Genomic DNA, 25,178 nt, shown 5'->3' with positions numbered 1-25,178 from the left:
CTACCGAGCTGAGGCTCCACCATGCCCCACAGGAAGGTCGCATCACTGAATGTCTACGAATAATCCATTGAGTCCTAAGAGCAGGAATTCTCATGCAAAACCCACACAGTTTTAATGACTGTCATTTCATCCTATGTTTTGGTTAGCAAGTTAGGTAAGATCTCTTTATCACTATTTCATTATTATTCTTGTCCCAAATTGTCTTCGCTATTCTTAAGCAAGGACTCTTCCAAATAAACTTCATGCTCCCACTGCTATTTTCCCTGGAATTACGTTATATGTATTAATTCTGTTAGGGAGAATTGACATCTTTACAATTGGGACTTCCTTTCTAGAAACTGAATGTGTCTCTATTTATTCACATATTCTTTCCCCCCTCCTGGAATGAAGTGTTAAAGATTTCTCCTTATAGCACTTGCAACACTTCTTGTTAAGTATATTTCCTAGACTTTTTCAGCTTGTTGCTGCTATTATGAGCGAGATCTTTTTTTAAATAACATCTTGAAATTAAAAATAGTAACTAAATGGGAAAACAATTAATTTTTACCTAGTTCTTCTATCCAGTTATTTTACCAAACTTTCTTACTAGAGCCGCTCATGTTTCCCCAGCAGAGTTTGAATTTTTCAAGGTAGAAAATCGTACCATCAGCAAATTGTTATTATTTTTGCCTGCCTTTTCAATGTTGATCATTCCTATCTGTGTTTTCTCATCCTTGTCACCACCTGGAGTGATGCTTTCATGTGCTGAGGCTGGGTCATGTCATGGTGAGATAAGAGCCTGATACTATTGTAGGTATCTTTTGCATTTCATATTTTGCTAAGTGCTTTCTCATTCCCCATCTCATTTGATCTTTGCAATAGTCACTTAATCAATCAAAAACTGTGTGCTGAACGGCATGACACGTGTGTTTCTAGTCCTCAGGAAATGTGCAGACCAGTGTGAACACAGGAAGTAAACAAGTGCACAATTAATTTGACAAACACAAGCAAACAACACACAGACCAGCAAAAGTGTAAATTACCACCAACCCTATTTTACAGATGAGAAATCAAGGCCCCAGATGGGGAAGTGACATCCACAAGGTCCTGTAACAAGTAGGTGCCAAGGCTGAGGTGCAAACCCTTCTTCGCATCTTGAGGCTGGGGACAGCCTCCTGGCTTGCCCCTACCTGTGAACATGCTTCTTCCTGGCCCCAGAGGGCCAGCTGTCTCCCAAAACAGTGCCAGTTTCCTTGGCAGTGCCCATTCCAGCTGGCTGAGGGCCGAAGATAGATCTCTCTGGCTTTCCTTGACAGCCAGCCAGGGAAGAGAACATTACCATTGGCAGGGCCTCCGTGGAGATCTGCAGCACAGGCTAAAGACCTTGAACCCCACAGCTGTTGCCACTCAGTAGGCACCGCTTGCCTTTGGGTTTGCTGTGTTGCTGGGTCCCACTTTCCTTGAGAAATAAGCTCTGGCCACAGGATGTGACCTAATTCTGGGTCATGTGGCTTAAGGCCCAGCTGAGAACCAAGGCCAATGCCAGACCTTCTAAAGTGGGAATGAGTATGGCCTTTGGAAATGAGGTCACATTTGTCTGTAGATGCCCAGTGGCTCCCATGGTGGCTTGGAATATGGTGGTTGGGGCTAGAGATTTCTATGGCTCTCACTTTCTATGGTTCTCACAAAACCAATCCTAAAGCTCCCAGCCTTGAGCCCTCTTTGACCTGGTCCAGCCATATTTCCTCCATTAGCGGCCTTTGTGTTCAAGGCCAAATGGTGGTATTCCCTACCATTTGGAGGCTCCCTCCAAGCTTGGTGTCAGGCAGACAGATATTCCAGTTTGGGAAACTGCTGGACCTCTCTGAGCCTCATTTTCTCTGTTTGCAAAATGAGAATGCTAATCTACCTGTCTCAGTGAATCATAGGGTCAGAGGATAAAAGAATCACAGTGGCTGATATTCACATAGTACTTGCTAGATGCCAAGTACTGTTTGAAAGGCTTTACAAATACCTAATCCTCACATCAACCCCATTAGGCTGGTGTTCTTATTTCCCATCTGTGAAGAGGGAACCAAGGTACAGGGAAGTGAAGGAACAGGCACAAGGACCTAATCAGTAGTCAAGATGGGACTGGGACTGTGTGGAGGGCAGCCTGGCTCCAGGTCCCTGCTTTTATTTCTTTTCTTTCTTTCTTTTTTTTTTTTTTCACTTGAGACAGAGTCTCACTCTGTCATCCAGGCTGGAGTGTAGTGGCATAATCTCCCATCTCGGCTCACTGCAATCTCCACCTCCCGGGTTCAAGGGATTCTCCTGCCTCAGCCTCCCGAGTAGCTGGGATTGCAGGTGCCCACCAACACGCCCGGCTAATTTTTGTATTTTTAGTAGAGACGGGGTTTTGCCTTGTTGGCTAGGCTGATCTTAAACTCCCGACCTTAAGTGATCTGCCCACCTCGACTTCCCAAAGTGTTGGGAGACTTACAGATGTGAGCCACCATGCCTGTGCCCCTGCTCTTAATCATTGTGTGATAAGTGTGTGTGTGTGTGTTGTGTGACAGCCATGTGTGTGTGTGTGTGCATTGTGTGCCTGTGTGAGACAGAGAGAGAAAGCTCACAGCACTGTGCCGGGCACCAAGTGGTCCAATCACTCAGGGGACATCAAGTTTCCATAAATCTTATCTCTGTCCCTCCCTGACTTGGCACCTTCTGCGTTGTTTTATCAATTTTGTATTCCTAACTTAATCTCCCTATGGTGTGGGGCCTGGGTTTCATCTGCATCTGAATCTCTGGTGCCTGACCCTGAGGCCCAGCCATCCCTCCGGCCCTCAGCATTTCCTCTACATCTGTCTTCAGTGCACCCATCTTGCCAGCTTGCACCATGTCTGTGTCTGAGTCCCTCGCTTGTTTGGGGGTGGCAGCTCAGTGCCCCTCCCAGGCTGTAAGCGCTCTTCCTCTGATTGTGAAGTGCTGGCCTCTCCTCTTCCCTCAGGCCTCAGTTCCAGTGTCACCAGCTCAGAGAGGCTTCCCCTGACCATTCTTCCTAAAACAGCACAGACCACCCCCAGTGCCTGACTCCTCGTGGCTCTGTTTTATCCCTTCATAGAACACGTTGCCCTCTGAGATGATCTCATATATTTGTTTCTGCCTCCCACACAGGTATGTAAGCCCCAGAAGTAACGGGTCCTTGTCCATGCGGTGGTTTAGAGTCAGCTTTGTAAGCTGTAGTGGGCTCACAAATTGCCTGGGATTTTGCTAAAATGTGAATTCTAATTGAATTCCAATTGAGAGGACCAGGGTGGGGCCTGGGAGTCTGCATTTCCGACCAGCACTGGGTGCTGCAGCTCCCCACTCTCTGAGCAGTGAGGCCCCAGCCCTATGAGTCTCAGCCCTACTGGATCCGAAGCACAGGGGGTGGGCCCCGCAGCTGGGGTTTTAACAGACAAATCCTATGAGACCTCTGATCTAGAGCAGTGTTGAGGGCCTCAACCCCCAGAGCCAGGGCTGCCTCAGTGCCAATCCTGAGGCCACTTCACTCCTCTGTGCCACTGTTTCTCTGGCCGTACAATAACGGGGATGATAACCGCCTTCCCCATGGGATCGCTGTGAGGACTGAGCGAGTTAACACATGCCAGCTGTCTACCGCTGCCCTGGCAATTTGTCCAATGAGCGATTAGGATGCCAGCCAGACGCTGTCAACAGGAGGTGATGGGAGTCAGAACCGAAGGTTGTGCCAGGCTGGGCGTCTTCCTGGCTGACGAGAAGCCATGTTTGCACCGACTCCCATACTCCAGCAAGATGACAGTGTTGACCTCAGCACCAGGCTGCTGCCGAGGCAACTGCAGTCAGCTTCACAGCCTTTGCTGAAGGCTGGGCCTCGCAGGAAAGGAGAGGCCCGGGGTTGCCGGCGTTGACCTCTCACCTGGGTCTGCTGCTCCAGGGATGCGGGCTTGAGGGTTACCTGGGAACCAAAGGAGGGCAAGAGCCTGGGTACAGGCACTTCCCCTTCCTGTGTATCATGCTCTTTCCTAGAAGAACTCACTGGGTGCACAGGTCAGCCTGTGAGCTGGGCCTTATCCCATTTTACAGATGAGAAAACCAAGGCTCCGGAGAGCTCCTGGAAGGATCTATCAGCAAAGCTACCTGTCCTTGGATGATGGGAGAAGTGAGGAGGGCTGGTCCTGACCTGGAAAGGAAGTTCAAGACCCCTGCCCTAGAGGTCATCATCCTTCATGCATTGATCTGAGGCTGAGGGAGGTCCCCTAAACAAACTCAGGGTCCCAAAGCTGACTGGTTACTTAGCACTGGGCCTCTGACCTGGGGTCCTGACAATTGGTTGCTGATAAGAATCAGTGCCATGCCCAGTCAGGCAGAAGGTGAGCCAGGTACTAACAGGAGGGTGGCAGGAGAGAGGGCTTTACTGGACACATTGCCTCTGACGATCTCATCCCTGCACCTCCCAGTTCAACCGCAGTGCTCAGAACCCATGCTCCACTCTACTCCTTTACCATCTTCTCATCAGAGTCTTAGCAGCCCTCGGGAAGGTCTGGGAAAAACGAGCCCATGGGGGGAGCCCACTCACAAGCCCACTCCTAGATTGCTTCTCCCCTGGATTTGCACAGGCTGCCCTCACTACCAAGGCTAATAAGCTAATGGCACACAGTGTGCGGGGGGTGGGGAGAGATGGCTACTGTTGATGGAGCCCCTGTGAGAGGCACCAGGCTCAGGGAAATCTGGAAGCATAATCATAACTCACTGTGGGCAAGTTCTTGCTGTTTACAGGGAGCTCCTCCTCCTGCTTCCATTTAATCCTCACTACCTTCCTATAAGTGAGTACTACCATCTCCATTTTGCAGGTGAGGCTCAGAGAGCTGGAGCATTTGCCTAAGGTCACATAGCCAGGAAGCAAAGTTGCCTCTGTAGCTTCTGTCCTTTGCTTGAGATCCCTGCTGCTTAGAGAAGTAGAAATGGGTCTCTGTCTTTAAAGTTGTGGCTGGCTGGCTGGGAAGCTGGAATTTGTATCTAGAATCTGCTTCCTTCCTTCTTTTCCCCTTCCCTTCCTTTCCCTTCCCTTCCCTTCCCTTCCCTTCCCTCCTTCCTTCTTTTTTTCTTCCTTCTTTTCTTATCCATCGTCCATCCATCCATCCAACAAACATGTGCCAGGCATTCTGCTAAAGAACCCTGAGAAAGGCAGTAAAAAGCAGACATAATCCAGCCTCCGTGGAACTTATGGTCTGTGGAGGGGGCAGAAAGAGACAGCCGTGACTCAAATAATGACACGAATAAATAAAAATGGCCACAGTGACAAGTGCTCTCTCAGTGAAAGTGTGTCTGGGACTCAGGTCAGAGAGGGCCCCCTTCCCTGCCAAGCTGAAGTCTGAAGGGTGCATGGGACACAACAGGTGAAGAGAATGGGGAGCTATACCCATGAGGGTGTGGCTGTGCAGAGATGGGGCCACCCATGCCAGCTCTGGGGTCAGGCTGGGACTCAAATCTTGGGGTTGCTGCTGACCAGTTAGGCAACTTTGATAAGCCCATCAAGCTTTTAGCCTCCATTTCCCAAAAACCAGGCTTATAAGAATACCTACTTTATAGGAATGTCATGAAGATTTAATGGGATGAAGTGAGTAAGTCTCAGCGTGGCACCTGGCCCCAGGTAAATACTCTGATCAACATGTGGCCCCTTAGTAAGCGTGGTCAATGAATAAACAAACCCATAAAAGCACTTCGCAGGAAGGTCTGACTGTGGTACAAACTGAGGGTGTGTGTGGAAAGTTCTCTTAGATCACCTAGCAGTGGTTCAACCTCGGCTGCATGTAAAGGCGCCCTCCAAGGTTGGAGATCTGGATACACAGAAAAGACCAAGAAGGGCGCTCCAGACTTGGGGAAGAGGCTGAACCCATTTTTGGAGATTGGGGTGGAGTATGGCATTTGGGAAGCGAGGCATGATGAAGACTGAACTGTGTGGGAAGGTGGCTTCCACAGCAGGCGGCTCCGACACAGGCAGCCAGGGGCAGGGGCTCAGGCGGTTTGAGGGCCGTGAGAGGCCTTTGGTCTGGTTGGACTGGAAACAACCCTGCAGGCGGGTGGGTTTGGAAACTCTCTCATCTGCAGGGCTGCCTCGGTGGAAGGAGCAGGATGGCAGGGGTGTCATCTTCCATGCCAATTCCCAGTGATTGGAGCAGCTCCTAGAGTGCCGTGTTGAGAAGACTCAGGTTGCATCTGAGTGTGATTAGCAACGGGAGCCAAGCGTTTGCAGGCCCAGGGAGTAGCACAATTGCCAGGTACTTCCCATCCTGGCTGGGTGGAGTTGGAGAGGACAGCTAGGGTGGGGAGTAGGGATTTGCTATTGGCTAAATATGTTTGTGTCCCCCCAGATTCCAATGTTGAAGCCCTCGTCCCTAATGCTATGATATTTGGGGGTGGAACCTTTGGGAGGTGATTAGGTCATGAGGGTAGAGTCTCCAGGAATGGGACTAGTGCTGTTATAAGAAAGACAGAAAAGACAGAGAGAGAGAGAGAGAGAGAGAGAGGAAGAGAGAGATCATCCACCCTGTAAGGAGAGGCAGGAAGCAACAATTTGCAAACCAGGAAGAGGGCCCTCACCCAGATGCCAAATCACTGGCATCTTGATCTTGGCCTTCCGAGCCTCCTGAACTGGGAGCAACAAAAGTCTTGTGTTTAAGCCACTCAGTTGGTAGCATTTTGTTATGGAAACCTGAACTAAGCCAGAATCGCTCTTTACTTTGGTGGTGCTTTTCCTTCAAGAAAGAGGACCTTCCCCACACTGCAGCAATTATAAAGCCAGCCATTTCGATAGCAAAGTAGGGTGAGGACAGCTAATGAAGGTATTGGATATTTCAAAATAGTTAGAAGAGAGGACTTGAAATATTCCCAATACATAGAAGTGATAAACACTCGAGATAATGGATACCCCAAATTCCCTGACTTGATCATTACACACTCTATGCCTGTAACAAAATATCACATGCACCCCATAAATATGTACAAATATTATGTAGCAGTTAAAAAAATGTTAAATGAAAGGAAAATAAATACACCCACCAGAAGAAGAGAGCTAGGTCTGTACTGGATAAGGTACAAGGCAGGAAAAAGTATAATTAGAAAAAATAAAGGGGTTGGCAAAGAGATTCCTAAGATGTCTTCTAGTTCTGATATTTGGTGGCGAGGAATTCCCCTAAATGCCTTTGAAAGGGCATGAGATTCCTGTCACTGGAGACATTCAAGGAAAAAAAGCTAGCAGAGCAGTGAACTGGACTGCACAGGGCCCATGTCTTAAAAAACAGCTAGGTGAGAGGACCTCTTGGGGTTCACAGTGCAATGATTCTGCAATTCGGCCAGCAGCTGCCCAGGAGGCTGAGAAATGACTTGCTTCTGAAGCAGGTGCAAGGACCGTGAGGGCTGGGTCTGTGCCTCAGAGGCCCAGAGATCAGAAATTAGGACCCAGAGGCATGAGTGTAGGAATTTTTACTGGACATCAAGTTCACCTGCCTGTCCCAGACAGATAACCTGATAACGACCAAAGTGCCTCTCCTGTTTTCCTTGCTGTACACCAGCTTTTACCTTGGAGTTATTTGGGGCCTGGGATGGTCTCCCTGGAGCCTCTCTTTTGAATGAGAGACTTGTAGATGTATGTCTTCTCTATCCTCTACTGTTCTGACAAACACATCCAGGAACAGCCAGTGCCTTCTGACCAGGGACAGAGGGCAGGAAAGGAAGTGCCATGCTTGGGTTCTGATGGGGTCGTGGTGACCTTCTAGGGTGCTTCTGTTCCACTATGCATTCAGGGAGGCCAGGACCACAGGATAGGCATGGCTGCTCAATGCTGTGTGCATGCTTTGAACCACGGGCTCAGCCCTCCAGCCCCAAGTTCTCCCTGCACTGCATGGAGCAGCGGTGGAGCGGCAGCCTGTGTGCATGGATATAGAGCCATCTCAAGACAGATGCCGCTACCTGCAGGAAAAGGCAAGGGGCCATGCAAAGCTGCTGTTCTCCCATTTGCGTTAAATGTAAATTTCAAATACATGTATGTTTTTACACAGATTATCTCTGGAAGGACATTCCAACAAAAATACCTGTGGTGGATACTCCCTGGGAGCGAGACTAAATTTTCATTCCATTACTTTGTGTATCTTTTGAATTTTGTGCCGTATGCACAAATTAACTTTTCAAAATTAGATCATTTTTAGAGCTCTACTCTGCAGTCAGACTCTGTGGGTTCACATGAATGGCCTTAGCCTCTCTGTACCTCAGTTTCCTCATCTATAAAAAAATAAAGGTGTGTTAGGAGAATGCATGAGGCTGGGCATGGCAGCTTATGCCTGTAATCCCAGCACTGTGGGAGACTGAGGCGGGCGGATCGCCCAAGGTCAGGAGTTCCAGACCAGCCTGACCAACATGGCAAAACCCCATCTCTACCAAAAATACAAAAATTAGCCGGGCATGGTGGTACCCTCCTGTAATCCTAGCTACTCTGGAGGCTGAAGAAGGAGAATTGCTTGAACGCATGGAAGGGGCCCTCAGTTCTTCCCAAGGAACGGGGAGGGCACCAAGGACAATAAGAGAGGGTGTGCTGCGGACTTGATGGATGGGAGAGCATTTGGCAAGGGGAGGGATGCATGTCAGGCGGAGGGCAAAGCTTGGGCAAAGGCTCAGAGTCAGTAAATGGCTGGCGGGGGAAGGGAAAGCTGGGGAGCACACCCATCCTCACACATACACGAGGCACACTGAGCCTTCATCCTTACCTCACCCAGGGTTCAAGAGACAGCCATCCATTAGCACCAATTATACTGAAGCAAATACAAGGACATCAGCACGTCAATAGATGAAACAACGAGGAGATGCTCAAAAACCAACGTCATCTTGTCTGCGAAGTTGCCCCTGACCAATCTATGTAAAATCACAGCATCCCCCTCCTCCAATGCCCTACCCTCCGCCTCTTACCATCCTCTGACCCACTCAATAATTTAGTTGGCCAGGCATGGTGGCTCATGCCTTTAATCCCAGCACTTTGGGAGGCTGAGCTGTGAGGATCACTTGAGCCCGCAAGTTCCAGACTAGCCTGAGCAACATAGTGAAACCTCATCACTATAAATAACTTTTCAAAAATTAGCTAGGTGTGGTGGCCCATGCCTGTAGTCCTAGCTATTTGGGAGGCCAAGGAAGGAGAATCACTTGAGCCTGGGAGATTCAGGCTACAGTGAGCTGTGATCAGGCCACTACACTCCAGCCTGGGCAACATAGTCTCCAAACAAAATGTAGTTATTTGTTTATTGTCTGTTTCAGGTCACCAAAATGAACATCTCATGAGGGTTGGAGTTTTGTCCATTTTATTCTCTGATTTATCCCCAGTACCTAGAACTGTGCTAGAGTTTTAGCATCTATGATAGATGCTAAAATAAGAGTGATCACCATTTATTGGGTAATTACCATGTGGTCATCATTCCTCATGTGTACTTTAATTTTCACAATGCCACCCTACAAGATGGGCATTTAAATTCCCATTTTGTGGAAGAGGAAACTGAGGGTTGAGAGTTATCAATTCAAATGCTGTTCCTTGGGTTCAGCTAAACCTTGAAAAGCACCTGGGTGTGTTTTTGAGTTCTCAGAAGCAAGAAGTGAAATGTTCATGCCCCTGAACAGCTGGGCTGCACTCGCCCCACCCAACTTGACCCTGGGCCTGTGTCCTTCGGGGTTGGGGTGCGGGTGGTTCTCACTTTCATGAGGGCTCCTTCCCTTGCTATCGGCTTCTCCTTTAACAGTGACGAGCAGCAGCCTGCCGGGTTGTGACTCAGGTCCTGGAGCCAGAGGGTTGGATGCCACCTCTTACTATGGACTGTGGGACATAAGTCCCACCTTCCCCACCAGCAACATGGGCGATGAGAGATAAATAAAATAATTGACACCATTTCTGACACATATCAGTAGTTGTATGACTCAGGTCCTGGCAGGAAATACAAAACACATTTGAGGCTTTAACTGAAGATAATTTAATTAAGAAGGTATTTACAGAAGTGCAGCGTATTAATATCCCAGTCCTGCTGTAAAAAATTACCCCAAATTTAGTGGCTTAAAACAACACAAACTTATTTCCTTACAGTTCTGGAAGTCACAAGTCCCAAATGCTAACATCAAGGTGTCAGCAGGGCTGGTTCCTTCTGGAGGCCCCGGGGAGAATTCATCGCTTGCCTCTCCTGGCTTACCTTGGTTCCTGGCCACATAACTGCCACCTCTGCTTCCATCATCAGATCACCTTGGCCCTCCTGCCTCCCTCTTATGAGGACCCTAATTACATCATCAGCCCCCCACTCCTTGGGTAATTCAGTATAATCTCTCCATCTAAAGATCAGTCAGTTAATCACATCTTTTTAAATCTTTTTTTTTTTTTTTTTTTTGAGATGGAGTCTTGCTCTGTCACCCAGGCTGGAGTGCAGTGGCATGATGTCAGCTCACTGCAACCTCCGCCTCCCAGGTTCAAGCGATTCTCCTGCCTCAGCCTCCCAAGTAGCTGGGATTACAGGCGCCCACCCCCACACCCAGCTAATTTTTGTATTTTTTAGTAGAGCCGAGGTTTTGTCATGTTGGCCAGGCTGGTCTCAAAACTCCTGACCTCAAGTGATCCGCCTGCCTCAGCCTCCCATACTTCTGGGATTACAGGTGTGAGCCACTGCACCCGGCTAATTTAATCACATCTGCAAAGTCTCATTTGCTATATAAGGTGGCAGGTTCGCAGATCCCAGGGATTAGGACATGGACAACTTGAGGGCCATGACTGCCTATCACACATGAGAAGGGATGGAGAGGCAGTGGGGGCTTAGCATCACTGGGAAGCTGTGCCCAACCCTAGGCCTGAAAGGGCAAGGATCCGGGAGGAATAAACACCAGTCTCTCCTGCCGGGGCCTTCCATTGGCTGCAGCCATCAGAGGCCAGAAGGCAGAGAGCCCATGGTCCACAGATGCAACTGGGACCTGGAGCAGAGAAAGGAAGGGATGGAGTGGGGAGAGACCGAAAATCAGCAGCACAAGACTTGAGTTGTCTTAGCTCGGACCATTGCTGTGTTGTGGCCTGGGTCTTCTGAAGGGGGTTCAGGGCATGGGGTGGCCTGCCTCTGTCTCGGCCTCCCGCTCCAGGACTAGCAGACCCCTCTCACACCATCCCAGGCAACTGGATGAACAGTCTATTCTCAAGCCAAGCTGCCAGGATTTGGGGCAAAAGAGCTGCTGCGGAAATTCAAAGCAAAACAGCCAGAAGTCTCTTCAAAGTGCACTTCCTTAACAAAGGACTTAGAAGAGGTAGGAAGAAAAAGGCTCTGGACGGCAGGTAGCCAGCTCAGCAGCACCATGACAACCCTGAGAATGGTGAGCTATGTGGGGACTGGCTCTCTGATCTTCCCCAGACCCCCTCGCTGGCCCTTAGACAAACAGGAGGGATGGGGAGCCCAGAACTGAGAATTGAGAGACTGGGGTCCAGTCCTAGCTCTGCCATTGACTCTCTGTGTAACCTTGGGCAAGATATAATCATTCTCTCTGCACCTCAGCTTCCAGGTCGGTGAAATGGGGATAATGTTACAAAGTGACATGGTCAGGTTCTCCAGAAGCAGGGAGCCTTATGCAAGTAATTTATTGTTTGCAGGGGGTGTCTGGGGTGAAACCTATAGGGGTAAAAGAAACAAGAAAGTAAGGGAAGAAGCCAGGCAAAGATGTGGGTCCAGTTGAAGTCTAGTCTCAGCCCCATCCCACAGGGAGCTCTGGAGTAGAGCTGTCCCCTTGAGACAAAGGCAGGGCTGTGTATCCATCTTGGGGGAGGCTGAGGTCCCTGTCCTTTCCCTGCTATGGTTGACTGTGTAGTGGCCCACAAAGGCGTCCACATCCTCATCCCCAGAACCTGTGAATATGTTACCTAACATGGTAGAATGGGCCTTTGCAGCTGTGATTCAGCTAAGGGTCTTCAGATGGGGAGGGTATCCTGTGCTATCAGAACAGGCCCAGTGTTATCACAAGGGGAAGGCCAGAAGATCCAGCAGGAGAGGTAATGCTGCAAGTGAAGGCTGGAGGGATGTGAGGAAGGGGCCCCAAGCCAAGGAATGCAGGCAGCTCCTAGAAACTGAAAAAGGCACGGAAACAGATTCTCCCGAGGCCTTCAGAAAGAGCTCACCCCTGCTGCCATCCTGATTTTTGACCTCTGACCTCCAGAACCATTAAGAGAATGCAATCCATGAATATCAGCTTAATCCACTGAGGGGAGTGGTCATTTGTTTCAGCAGCAACAGAAAACCGATACACCTGCCAAGGCTGAGTGGCCACACGATTTGACCCAGGCCCAAGGGTCCTTGTCCCAGCTCTGTGGGTGCCAGCAGTTACTGACCCTGTTTAATGAGCATCTGCTCTGTGTCAGGCACAGGCGACAGCATCTGTGCTGCACCCAAATCCCCTTGGATGCTGCTTACCAACTCTGAGTGCCCCGCCCCACCCCTGGCTTCTGTGTGCTTTGGCGTCTGATGGCCTTCAGGCTGCTGGAGCCACTTTGACCCTGAGTGCAGAGAACTGGAAGCCAGGGTGGGACGCTTGGCCAGTGGCAGAGGGCCTTGCTTTGAGTCTGACCAACACAGAGGCGTGATCTACATTGTGGGCACCCCTCCCCAGCCTCCTGCATGTACCCTGGCTGGGTGCCTCCCTCGCCCTCACCAGCTCCCCCAGGAGCACACCCTTGATGCATCCCTTGTACAGGAATCCTCATCTCAGACTTTACTCCTGGGGTCTGGCCAGAGCAGCACTGTACCCGGGGCCCTTTCTATCTGGTCCTCACAGTTCCTCCCCGAGGCGGGGAGGGTGACTATTCTTATCTGACAGGAAACTGAGGCTCTGATCAGCTCACAGACCGCAAAGGTTAAGCCAGAATCGGAACCCAGACCCTGGAGAGGATGCTTTTCCTTCCTGAACTTGGATTCTGCAGCCTTCCACACAGCCCCTTCCCCTGGACTCCTCCTGCAGCCCTGGGGAACGGGAATCGTCCTGGTCTGCATTTCCTGCAGCAGGAAGTGGCTGGGTGCAGTGACTTGGGCTCTGGAGGAGAAGGGTCTTTTTGGGACCCCGCCCATCTCACCCCCAGGCCTGGGGGGGATTACTGGGGCCTGAAATGTGGGTGCTGTAGCTGTGGCTCCCTGAGGGAATGAGGATCCCTGAAAACTCCACAGGCTTCATGCTGATTCTTCGATCAAATCTTGGCAAATGACTTATCCCTCCTTTCCCCGCCCCCTGTTTTCTCCTCTGTAACCTGGGGATCATAATCTCCACCTCATATAGCTGTGGCCAGAATGGAGGGAATAACATATGGGAGCGTGATTAGCACGGAGCCTGGCACAATGAGAGCGCTCCTTCCCTGCTCAGTTAATCCCTCCGAGCCTCAGTTTCTTCGTCCATAAAGTGGGGAGAATATCTACCGGGCAGTCATATCTGGAGAAGCTGTAGTTGGCAGGGGTCAGGGGGTCAGGAGTCCTGATCCTGGCTGACCTCTGACTAGCCACTTAACCTCTCTGTGGTCTGTTCCGCCCTCTGATTTGTGAGAGCCACGTGAGTGAGTGCCGTGACGTGCTCAGAATGTGCCCAGCACCTAGCAAATGCCATTGTTGTTGTGTGTGAAGGCCTGGCTATGCGCCCGGCATGCAGCAACGGCTCAGTAAACAATGGCTGTTTATTCGTCAGCATTTCCTGGCCCCTGTAATGAGGAAGCTCACCTCCACCTTCTCACTCAGCCCTGTGTCTTCCATTCCCAAACTCCCAGGGCCCTGTGCTCAGGCTGACTGGCTGCAGTTGCTGTTGTAAGGAGCACGTACCCTCCACGTCCCTCCACCTTTTCATGCCTCCAGCTCTCACCCCAAACATGCCTCTTCCACTCTTCTCTCCCAACTGGGGCCCCCATCCTGTACCTGCTCTTGTTCCACAGCTGCCATCAGCTACTTGGTGATGACTCACACTAGAACTGGGCTGATGCTGCGCAGGTGTGTTCTCCTTCCCCGAGCTCCTTAAGGCACCGGCCCGGCCGTCGTTGAGTGATGGCCAAACCCTGGCACCCCACAGGGGCGCTACCTGTCTCCTCTCCCCAAAGAAGAGTCTGACTTGGCAGCCCCTTCCAGGTGGACAACAAGTTCCCCGTGACGTCCCACAAATGCCTCTCCTGCTCTCCTGGGGTCCCTTTGTGTAGAAGCAGCCGCTCTGTATGTTCGTGTTGGTGCATCCTCACCCAGAGGGGAAAAGCAGCCCGAGTAGCTCAGCCTGATGCCTGTCGGACCGAAAGCAGCAGCCATGGGAGATTTTACCTTTCTTTTTCTGGACCACACAGGCCTGCACTGCAAGGCTCCTTTTGTTTTCTTTCCTAGGGCTCAGGATGGACAAGGTAGCCCAGAGCTGGACCAACTGCCAAGAGGAGTCCCTTCTGCCCTCTGCCCTCTCAACAATAAGACTGGCTCCGCCTCCCTCCCACTGGGCAGTCCCCATTGCTCCAACTGCCTCCTCTGTTGCACCCAGGAACTCATCTGGGCTCCAGCCTGAGGGAGTCAGGCCCATCTCATTCTCCAGGCAGGACTGAAACTGGGCAGGCAAGAATTTGGGTCTGACCCCAGGCTGCCTGCCTTGTTAAATAAGACCAACCTAGAAAACAAACAAAGAGTGAAAACCTCCAAACCCACCTGCTTGGAGCTCAGCCAGTTCAAACAATATTGATGAGTCCTGGCACTGGGCTAGGCCTGAGGCTCAGGGAGGAAGCCACACATTGCCTACCCCTGAGACAATCACAGTCTAGTGGGAAAGACAGACCAGTGGGTTCCAGTACCCAGTGAGGTCCAAGGCACTGCCAAGGATACCAAAGTCCAGGGGACACAGGCCGAGTCCTGCTGGAGATTTTCAAGCCCTCTGCTAAGAGGAGCACACCACACAGCCCATCTCCCTTCCCCTGCATGAACTCCAGCTCACATTTTCTTCTCTAGCTCCTCCTCTGACAGGCAAGCCTTTCTCTTTCTTTCCCTCTCTTCCTCCTTGAAGCAGCTCCCAGCCTCACTTGCTTCAATCTCTCTGCTCGATCTTGCACACCCTACACACACATGCATGCACACTCACACACTTTCTCACACACATACACATACTCTCTCACACACACATTCTCTCTCACATACACACACACTCTCACACACACTCACATACACACACACTGTCACACACACACATTCTCTCTCTCACTTACACACTCACACACTCTCTCACACACATTTTCTCACACACATTCTCACACACACAGTCACACACACATTCTCTCATTCATACCCACAGTCACACACACATTCTCCCTCACATACACACACACTGTCTCTGTCTCACACACACTCACACACACACATTCTCTCTCACATACACACACACTGTCTCTGTCTCACACACTCTCACACGCACACATTCTCTCACATACACACACACTCTCATACACACACACACATTCTCTCTCACATACACACACACTCTCCCCACCCCCAAACATACCCTCTTTCCTCCTCACTCCACATAATATGGAGCGATTTAGTATCACCTTTTCTCACTTAAATGTCCCCTTGGCATGCTCCCCCCACTCTCTGCCATCCCCACTGCCCCCTCTGCCGCCATCAGCCTCCTCCCTACAACCAAGAGACTCAGCTAAGTGTTGTCTCTGAAGGGAATTCCGATGACCACAGTTTTCTCAACCTCATTTCAAATTTTAAAAAGCCTGGCTTTATTAAGGGCTAAACTGCTCAGGAATTTTTAAGCACCAACATAAGACTTTAAAGACATTTCCTGCTAATGAGATTAAGTGAGATAACGTATGTGGCACGTGGCCTTCCTGCACTTCCTGCATGCCTGAGATTGCGCTCTGAGGCTGTTGCTTCAGACCGAGCCTCAGATGGCCAGAGGGTCTCCTTCACTTTGGAAGGAAAGTTTGCAAAGCCTTGCAGTGTGGTGCGACGCTGGCAGCACTGGAGAGAGTGCCAGGAAGGAGTCCTGCAGAAACCTTCGGGCCGGAGTGTGTAAGGGGTGTGTGGGTGCATATGTGTGTGTGCATGTGTGTGATCTGGAGGTGAGGAAAACGAGATGTGTAGGGAGAACTCCAACCACACACTGCCTGGCTCATCCCTCCCTTAGGGTCTCACTCAGCTGCTGTCTCTGGCTGCTACCACCATGCTGGCCTCAGGAGGTCACTGTGATCATCACAGTCCCTTCTGCTTTGGGCTGAACCCTTTTCCCTTAGTTCCCTGCAATAGAATGGAGGTTGGTTGTCATTTCCAAGAGAATTTTGCAGGAAGAACATGATGAAAACCTGATTATATTTATACTCACCTTTGCACTATAGTTATTTCTTAAAGCTCAGTTTCCAGCTCCCAGAGATCCCGTGGAAGTGGCAAAGACATCTACAAGCCTCTGATTCTCTACCCTAAGATAACCACAAAGACACAAGTGTCCACCTGGGCATTCGTCTGGGTGCGCTCTACTGACCAAGGGTCAGCCGCGGTGCCTGGGCATTGAGCAGAGAGGGGAAGGGAACCTCCATATCCTGAACACCTTCTGCCCTGTGCTGGACTGCGATAGGAACTTTATATTCCCATCCGCTAACTCACTCATGCCCCATAACAACCTCATGACACATGGTCCAGCAAGGTCAAGCTGCTTGCCTAAGGTCACAGAGTTGGAAATAAGAACCCCATTCATGGAATGTACTATTGATAAATGCAAGGATTTACAAGGGCTCAAGCTCAATCTAGGCAAGAAGCATGGGGCTTTGGTGGTGACCCAGAGCCTAGCTCTGTGGCAGCTCAGCCCGGCCATGCTTCCTTCTCAGCTGGAGCAGGAATTTTGGTTGCTAGGATCCTGGCGAGCCTCAGCCGGCTACTCCTTTCTCTCCCTCCTCCACCAGCCACTGAGTCCTTGTGCCCCGACCCAGCCCCAGCCGGGGTCTGTGGGTGGGGCAGCACTCCCTTCTGGTTCTTAGTTGCCATGGACCTTACCCTCTGGCAGGACTCCTGCTGTCCTCTCCTGCAGGGTGGATGGCAAAATGGGACCAGCACAGCTCCTGATACAATGAACCCTGGGCTCTAATCCCAGCCCTGCCATGTATAAGCTGTGTGACCTCAAGTATGTGAACTCATCTCTCTGTGCCTGTTTACTCCCTAACATGCAACTAACAGTAGTACTCTACCCTAAGAGCTGTTGTGAGGCTTTCCTCACCTTTTTAAAAGAAAAGAAAAGAAAAAAAAAGAAACACTATATAGCATTTACTTCGTGCCAGACATGACTTTAAGCACTTTATCCCTAATTTCTTCCTCATGACAACCTTATAAGGGAGGAATTGTTGCTATCTTATTTTACAGATAAGGACTCCAAGGCACAGAAAGATTAAATAACTTGCTCAAGGTCACACAGCTAGTAAGAGGCAGAGGCAGGATTCAAACCCAGGCAGGCTGGCTCCAGAGTTCAGGCGCTTAACTTCCTACTTTATAGTGAAATGATAAGTGTGAAGCATTTTAGCATAAAACTCAACAAGGAGAAAATGCTTGGTCAATGGTAGCTATAGTTGCCATGTGACCTCGGCAGGCCATTTTACTTTTTTTTTTTTTTTTTCCGGGCTGAGTCTCCCTGTCCTCTGTAGCCCAGGCTGGAGTGCAGTGGCGCGATCTTGGCTCACTGCAACCCCCGCCCCCCGGGTCCCCATTCAAGCAATTCTCCTGCCTCAGCCTCCCAAGTAGCTGGGATTACAAGGCATGTGCCACCATGCCCAGCTAATTTTTGTACTTTTAGTAGAGACGGGGTTTCACCATGTTGGCCAGGCTGGTCTTAAACTCCTGACCTCGTGATCTACCCACCTTGGCCTCCCAAAATGCTTGGATTACAGGCATGAACCACCGCGCCCGGCAGGTCATTTTACTTCTGTCTCAATTTTTTCATCCCTAAAATGGGACTAGTGATCACTCTGTGCTGGGCTTGGGGTGAGAGTTCATTAGAATAATGGGTGTGAAATGTCTGACACAGATCCTAACACAGAGCAGGGCATAGGCTCTTGGTGGCTCTCCTTTCTAGAAGAGACCTACAGAACGGGGTCGGGACTGGTGGTACCTAGACACATCCACTGAGTCAGCAAAAGCAAGGTGTAAGAACACCACCAGCCTTGAGGGGCCTGGGCAGAGCAACACATGTGTGGTGAGGGCAGCCAGAGATGCAGAGCATGGATGCAGGGCCTCTGACGTGGGAGGTGGCATCTGGGGTCCAGATGCAGGATTGGGAAGAAAGGGGTGAACACTTACGGGGCCATCTAATCCTCACAATGACCCTGAGAAAACAAGAGTCTCAGAGAGGGGACGTGACTTGCCCAAGGCCACGTCTCTAGAAAGGGGTGGCAATGAGGTTTGCCTCCCAGACGCCTCTGTGTTTCCTGTCTCCCTACACTGCCCATCAGCAGGATGAAGGGCCCAGCTATGAGGTCAAGCTGTAGGTTGGGAGTAACTGTTTCTTAAGAAAGTCCAGGCGGGACGCGGTGGCTCACGCCTGTAATCCCAGCACTTTTGGAGGCCGAGGCGGGCAGATCACTTGAGGTCAGGAGTTTGACACCAGCCTGGCCAACATGGTGAAACCCCATCTCTACTAAAAATACAAAATTAGCATGGTGTGGTGGTGGGCGCCTGTAATCCTAGCTACTCGGGAGGCTGAGGCAGGAGAATAGCTCGAACCTGGGAGACGGAGATTGCAGGGAGCCGAGATTGCACCACTGCACTCCAGCCTGGGTGACAAGAGTGAAACTCTGTCTCAAAAAACAAAAAACAAATGAAAAAATTAGCCAGATATAGTGGACACGCACCTGTAGTCTTAGCAACTAGGGAGGCTGAGGCAGGAGAATCACTTGAACCTGGGAGGCGGAGCTTGCAATGAGCCGAGATTGTGCAATTGCACTCCAGCCTGGGCAACAGAGCAAGACTCTGTCTCAAAAAAATAAAAGTCCAGCAAAAGAAAGGCGACAGTCCCTCCTGCAAAAGTGTCCCAACTAGGCAGGTAGTACAGTGGGGCCTCGAGCCGGGGAATGCAGAAGGGCTTGGCTGAGGACAGCAGCAGGCGGGCAGGCAGGCAGGGGTGAACCGGAGGCACGGGTGGCTGGAGGCTGCCTGGAGTCTGGCTCAGCCCTGGGGAAGGGGGTGGTCAGTGCCTCGCCAGAGCATGGAGGGAGGATACCCTGCGATCCAGAGAAGGGCATAGGGTGCTTCCCCCCACCTCTGCCAATCCCCCCAGAAGATTTTCCCCATACACAGTAAAAGGAAAGGCTCTCAAAGCAACCCACTGGGGGACTCACAGCAGGGGTGACAAGAGCGCTTTCTAGGGCAGTTGTGTGCTGTCTTCAGAGGCAGGAAGCCACTTCCTGTGGTCTCAATGGTGCCCTGTGAAAAACCAGGCCCTGGCCCAGCAGCCAAGAGGGCCGGGATAGGTTCACCCAGACCCATTGTCCTATGAGCAGATTTGTTTTTTCCAGAGCAACTCTTCACAGCTTCTCCCCTTCCCTTGGTGACAATGACAGCCAGCAATGGCTAGACAGCCTACTCCCAGCCTGGCCTGAGTCCGGTGGCCCCAGCGTGAGATCACCACAGTGAGGTCTGACCTCAGCATCGCCATGGGGATGCTCGGATGCCACGCTGCCTGTAAAGCACCTTTTTCCCCCAGGAGAGTGGGAGGGGACCATGGCTGATGCTGACTATGTATGATGTGGCCTGCTCCTGGCTGCTGGGGCTGTTTGTCCCCAAACATATGTTGTCAGATCTCAGCTGAATGGGGTGGGCCAGGGGGACTCACTCAGGACCTATGGGCTCTATTGCGTGTCTATGTGTTTGGGGTGTGGCGAGAGGTGTTTATTAGACCTCACGGGGAGCCTCATTTTCTTGCCTCCCTGGGCTCGCCTGGGCTGCTGTTCACTGTGCTCCTAATGGGCCTCGGACTGACATTCACAGCAACCTGGTCTCCATAGCAACCAGCTGTGACATCACAAGGAACCCACGGACCCTGTAGCTGGAGCAGAGGAAGCTTGAATGCCTGTTTGGGGAAGAAAGCCTTTGCTGCCCATCCTTAGGCCTCTCCTGTGATAGGGGAAGAGGACATAGAAACGCTGAGAGAGCCAGGGCCTCCGCTTCTCTGGAGGTTTGAGCGGGATCTACTCAAAATCCTTCCCTCCCTTTCTTTGTCCCCTTTCTCCTCATCCCTCAAAAAATATGTATCTTAGTTTCCTCAACTGTAAAATGGGGATATTAGAAGCCCCTCTTAATTGAGTATTTATTATGTGCCAGGCACTATTACAAGCATCTTGCATGAATTTTCTCATTTACTTCATAACAACCCTATAAAGTACTTTCTTCTTAGTATTCCCCCTTCTGTAAGTGGAAGGAAAGGAAGCACAGCAGAAGGATTGGAATCAAGACAGCCTGGCTCCAGAGCCTGTTTTCATAACTACGAGAGAATGCACCAGATTCCTTCTGAACGCCGCCTGCCGCGTGCACGGCTACAACTCTATTTCCAGCCATGCTGTGGCAAGCAGTTCCGGGCGGGCTTCAGCTCCCTTTGCACCACCAGCACCTCGCCTCCTGTCAGCATGAGGCAGTTTTCATTTTCTGCCCAGGGGCTTCCGCAGCGCCCCAACACAAGGTTGGCAGAAGCGGGCTCAGCCGGAGGACTTGTGGAGGGAAGTTGCTTCCACTGAGCCAGCCTCAATCTGGGGTGCACAGGCGCCACCAGGTGAATGCTTCTGCCAGGCCGTCATCTGACCCATAAGGTCCCTCTGTGCACTGCTTGGAAGGTCCTGGCAGGGCTGAGCCCCAGCCACCCACGGCAGTGACCTAATAATGCACCGTTATCTTGGCTCTTCTGCTCTCTCTTGTTTCCCACTCCTGTTCGTCCCTCATTTCTGGTCCCTAGAATGACTTCCAAAATAAACTCCCTGTACACAAGCCTTGGCATCGGGTTCTACTTTGGGGGGATCTTAAGCTAAGAGAGTCGCAGCCCTGAGAACGCCACTACAGGAGGGCATTCTGGAGCTGGGTCACTTGGTGATGTGCAATGAGGGCCCTGTTGTCGTGGGACGTGTGATGGTGGCCACCCTGGTATTACGGTGATTAAGACTGTCCCTGTGCTGGGCTGGGAAGAGGTACAGGTGTTGGTGGGGTGGGGGATCAGATGAAAGCACTAGCATCTAAACAATCCAGGGGCGATGGGCCTTACAGGGATGGTGAGGCTGGCTGGCGGCTAACTGCTCTGGAAGCCTTAAAGGAAGAAAACAGCAGGCTCAGGTTGATCCACTGTTAACTCAGGCCATGCAGTGAAGAACAAAATCCCCATAGTGCTGTTGTAAGACACTCTCTCCTTCTGCAGCCAAAGGGTATCCTGTACTGAATATCAGGCTCGGCATGGAATTGGGGGCAGGAGGGTCACAGGGTTGTGAAGGAGAAGGAGGGCATAGCTTGGCCAGATCTCAGCCAAAGCCAAGAACCCTGCTGGGCAGAGAGTGGGATGCTGAGACCTCAGGTGGGGATAATTGGGCAGATGATTCTGAGAATCTTGGGGGCCCAGACTCCCCTGGAACTTTGAGCACTGAACCCCCATAACTCAGCAAAGCACTCCTTGGCCAGTTGGGCCAGGCCAAGGCTGGGCTTCCTCTAGGGAAAGCTACCATGTCCCCCCATCCCCACCCCATCTCCTGCTTGGCTCAGTCCCCCACTGAGAAACCCCAGTCAGTAATGGGTATTGTCCAAGCAGAATACGAAGTCCCGCGCTTAATTCACATCCAGTGAGATTGGGATTAATTCAGTCTTGAGCAGAAATACAACTTGGGCAACTGGAGAGTAGACCTGGGCTTGGGTTCAGCTAGACCTGGGGACTCCTCCCATTCAGGGCCCAGGCAGAATGCCACCGTGTTGATTTCATGACTTGTTGGGATGCTTAAGGAAGTTCATGGATCCAAAATGCAGTATCGGTGACTGAACAGGTATTTACTGTACACCAGGCACTGTTCAATACAAGACAACAGCTGTAAAACAGCTCTTGTCTGTTTTCGAAGCACTCACATGAGGTAGTGAAGATAAAAGCATCTAAACAGACCATGCTACCAGTAGTAAAGCTGCTTTTGAGATGTGACTAAGTGCCTGGCTTTGTGCTGAACTCGCCGATACACAGTATCATAATATTCTTAAAATGACCCTACAAGGGAGAGATTTTCACCCCCATTTTACCAACGAGAATGGGCAATAGAGCTGGGATTTGAACCCAGCCTTATCTCGCTCTTCCCTCTGCACACAGCCTGCTTATCTTGAGAGAGCGTGACAGCCTCAGCGGAATGGTGTCCAAGACGCAGGGAAGAGAAAGATAGATCCGGCCTGGTGGGACGGTCCAGCAAGGCTTCCCAGAGGGGTGATAAGGCAATTTGTGTATTTCAAAAGCTGAATAAATGTGAACCACGTTGGGTTATGATTAAGCACCTACAGTGAGGGCTCCATCTTGGGATCAAGTTTTTAGAAATTGTTCTAATCAAAGCAAGCACAAGCTCCAGCCACTGCATAATACTTAAAGGTGGCTCCCCAGGTCACAGAGCCCACTTCTTCCCCCAGAACCTTGAGAGACCACCGCTGCTGTGCTCAGCCCTTTCTCTCTCTCAGCCTTTCTGACAAATGAGCCCTGTGGGGTGGGGGGTTTCTCATCAGGGTGTTTTCTTGGACTGGAGGGAGGTAGGGCTGTACTGATTGGACTCTGGAATTTTGAATCAGAGGAAGTCACTCAAGCTGGGTTCAGCAAAAAAGGAGGACTTATTTATGAGGCCCAGGGGTGTCTTCGGCAGGAAGGGCCAGGTCTGAGGAGACTAAAGCATGGACTAAAGCACTTTCCTTCCACTCTGGTCACCTTTACTTGCTATTCCAAGTTAACTCAATTCAACAGATGCTAGGCTTTCACACTGCAGCCAACCTTTAGGTGGGTAAGAGGGCAGGCACCAGGTTCCAGTGCACCTCACTTCCGGCCGCACCCCCGGAACCCAGCATGCTACAGAGCAGTATGGCTACCTCCAGCATCCGTTGAATTGAATTGACTTGGAATAGCAAGTGAAGGTGACCAGAGTGGGAGGAAAGTGCTTAATGTTGCAATTTAAGAAGACGAAGTCCTCCCAGAGGTGTTGCATGTGTGTCTATACATGCGGTTTCTCTCTGGGTAGACCTTTACAAGCCAGTAATGTCGACAAGGGTCACTCTTCCTCATTTCCGGATGAAGAAACCAAATTGCCCAAGCAATTTGGTTTGAAGCAGGTTGCCCAAGGTCACACAGCAAGAGGAGGCTCCGGCTCAGTATTCCTTACTGCACATTCAGAAATCCCAAGAGAAGGGGGTTTGCATCACACCTAGAGATAGGTTTCTAGGTTCTAAAATAAACCATACAATGTTAAGACACTATTTACAGATAGAAGGAAATGCTTTGGAGCCACAGGGGCCTGGGTTTTGAATTCTGCCTTTGTCATTTCCTAGGCGAACTTGGGCAAGCTATTTATCCTGTCTGTAAGGACAATGTAGCTTCAGAGTATTATTGGGATTGGAGGAGTCAGTCAATGCATTTTACCACTGCAGCGAGTAAATGCTCAATCAATGTATGCTCAATCAATGTTAACTATTGTTTATTACAGTCGTAAGTCACCTAACCTCTGAGCCTTAGTATTCTTGGCTACAAAATTGGGGTAATGATACTTCCTGAACAAAGCTGTTGGGAATGAGACAACATGAGATAAAATGAGATAACATGCCCAAGTCCTATCCTGGCACCTGGCTCCCCACATGTTCACTCCTTCCCCCTGCGATGCTCCCTCCTGTCAAATTTACGCTTCTAGCATAAATGACACGCCGGTCTAAGAAAAGCACCACTTGTGAACTTGAACGCTTATAGGCGTGAGCTGAGGAAGCATACAGCGATTTCCCTCTCCCACCTGGTGAGAGAGCCTCCACGGGCTCTAGGGTAAAATGGTCGAGTGCTGTGTGGGTGTTCTTGGTGCTGGAAGGATCCTGCTCTACTCAGTTCCAGGATTCTCTATGGGGCCTGGAGGTGGATTCTCCAGGGGGCCGGTTAGCTACCAGACAAAGGCAGCCAGACCTGGCTGTCAATCTGGGCGGGACAGTTGGGGCACTTCTACAGGGAGATGCTTTCGGCTGGGTTGACCAGAGGTAGAGCAGAATGTGCTGGGATGCAGGGCACGGACAACTTCTGAAGACTGAGCCAGACTTGAGCCTCCTTCCCTCCGTCTTTTTTAAACAAACCACATTTTTTGTTTGTTTGTTTGAGACAGAGTCTCGCTCTGTCACCCAGGCTGGAGTGCAGTGGTGCGATCTCAGCTCACTGGAACCTCCGACTCCTGGGTTCAAGCAATCTTCCTGCCACAGCCTCCTGAGTAGCTGGGATTACAGGTGCCTGCCACCATGCCCAGCTAAATTATTATTATTATTGAGACAGAGTCTTGCTCCGTCACTCAGGCTGGAGTGCTGTGGCACGATCTTGGCTCACTGCAACCTCTGCCTCCCGGGTTCAAGTAATTCTCCTGCCTCAGCCTCCCAAGTAGCTGGGATTACAGCCACGCGCCACCAGGCCCAGCTAATTTTTTTATTTTTATTTTATTTTTATTATTTTTTTATTTTTAGTAGAGATGGGGTTTTGCCCTGTTGGCCAGCCTGGTCTCAAACTCCTGAGCTCAGGCAATTCGCCTGCCTCGGCCTCCAAAAGTGCTGGAATTACAGGTGTCAGCCACTGCACTGGGCCAATTTTTGTATTTTTAGTAGAGACAGGGTTTCATCATGTTGGCCAGGCTGGTCTTGAACTCCTGACCTCAGGTGATCCACCCACTGGTCTTGAACTCTTGGTCTCAAGCAGTTCTCCCATTTCACCCTCCCAAAACGCTGGCACTATAGGAATGAGCCACTATGTCTGGCCATTAAACAAGCCACAAATTAATGAGCACTTATTATGTTCCAGGCACTGTGCCAAGCAGTTTACATGGATTCCAGCCACTACCATCTGCGTAGCCAGCCTTAGGCAAATGCTTAATGTCTCTGAGCCTCAGTCTCCTCACTTGTGAAATGGGCTTCGGGATGGTGTCTACCTCATAGGGCTGTTATGAA

General features: G+C 50.7%; 2 long non-coding RNA genes across 2 annotated transcripts, besides 3 other annotated features; one reads left to right on the top strand and one right to left on the bottom strand.

Moving 5' to 3' along the window:
• Window positions 3,237–4,126: an enhancer, noted in NCBI's record as "H3K4me1 hESC enhancer chr11:45011181-45012070 (GRCh37/hg19 assembly coordinates)". NCBI's record gives its function as "activates a minimal SCP1, AML or CMV promoter by ChIP-STARR-seq in naive H9 embryonic stem cells {active_cell/tissue: H9 hESC(naive)}" and the evidence as "EXISTENCE:reporter gene assay evidence [ECO:0000049][PMID:30033119]".
• LINC02685 (long intergenic non-protein coding RNA 2685) lies at window positions 15,728–19,854 on the bottom strand. Its single transcript, NR_026681.1, has 4 exons — window positions 19,349–19,854; window positions 18,863–18,960; window positions 16,354–16,447; window positions 15,728–16,268 (listed from the first exon to the last, which is right to left on the bottom strand). It is a non-coding gene; the product is annotated as a long intergenic non-protein coding RNA 2685 (long non-coding RNA).
• Window positions 16,449–17,406: an enhancer, noted in NCBI's record as "H3K4me1 hESC enhancer chr11:44997901-44998858 (GRCh37/hg19 assembly coordinates)". NCBI's record gives its function as "activates a minimal SCP1, AML or CMV promoter by ChIP-STARR-seq in naive H9 embryonic stem cells {active_cell/tissue: H9 hESC(naive)}" and the evidence as "EXISTENCE:reporter gene assay evidence [ECO:0000049][PMID:30033119]".
• Window positions 18,635–19,280: an enhancer, noted in NCBI's record as "H3K27ac-H3K4me1 hESC enhancer chr11:44996027-44996672 (GRCh37/hg19 assembly coordinates)". NCBI's record gives its function as "activates a minimal SCP1, AML or CMV promoter by ChIP-STARR-seq in primed H9 embryonic stem cells {active_cell/tissue: H9 hESC(primed)}" and the evidence as "EXISTENCE:reporter gene assay evidence [ECO:0000049][PMID:30033119]".
• On the top strand, window positions 19,356–20,987 carry LOC105376649 (uncharacterized). Its single transcript, XR_931236.3, has 2 exons — window positions 19,356–20,184; window positions 20,404–20,987. It is a non-coding gene; the product is annotated as an uncharacterized LOC105376649 (long non-coding RNA).
• The last annotated feature ends 4,191 nt before the right edge of the window (window positions 20,988–25,178 follow it).

Source organism: Homo sapiens, chromosome 11 (assembly GCF_000001405.40).
Source record: "Homo sapiens chromosome 11, GRCh38.p14 Primary Assembly".
In the NCBI taxonomy this organism is placed as follows: Eukaryota; Metazoa; Chordata; class Mammalia; order Primates; family Hominidae; genus Homo; species Homo sapiens.
Note: the sequence above shows the minus strand (reverse complement) of the source record. Positions and strands in the feature narration are given on the sequence as shown.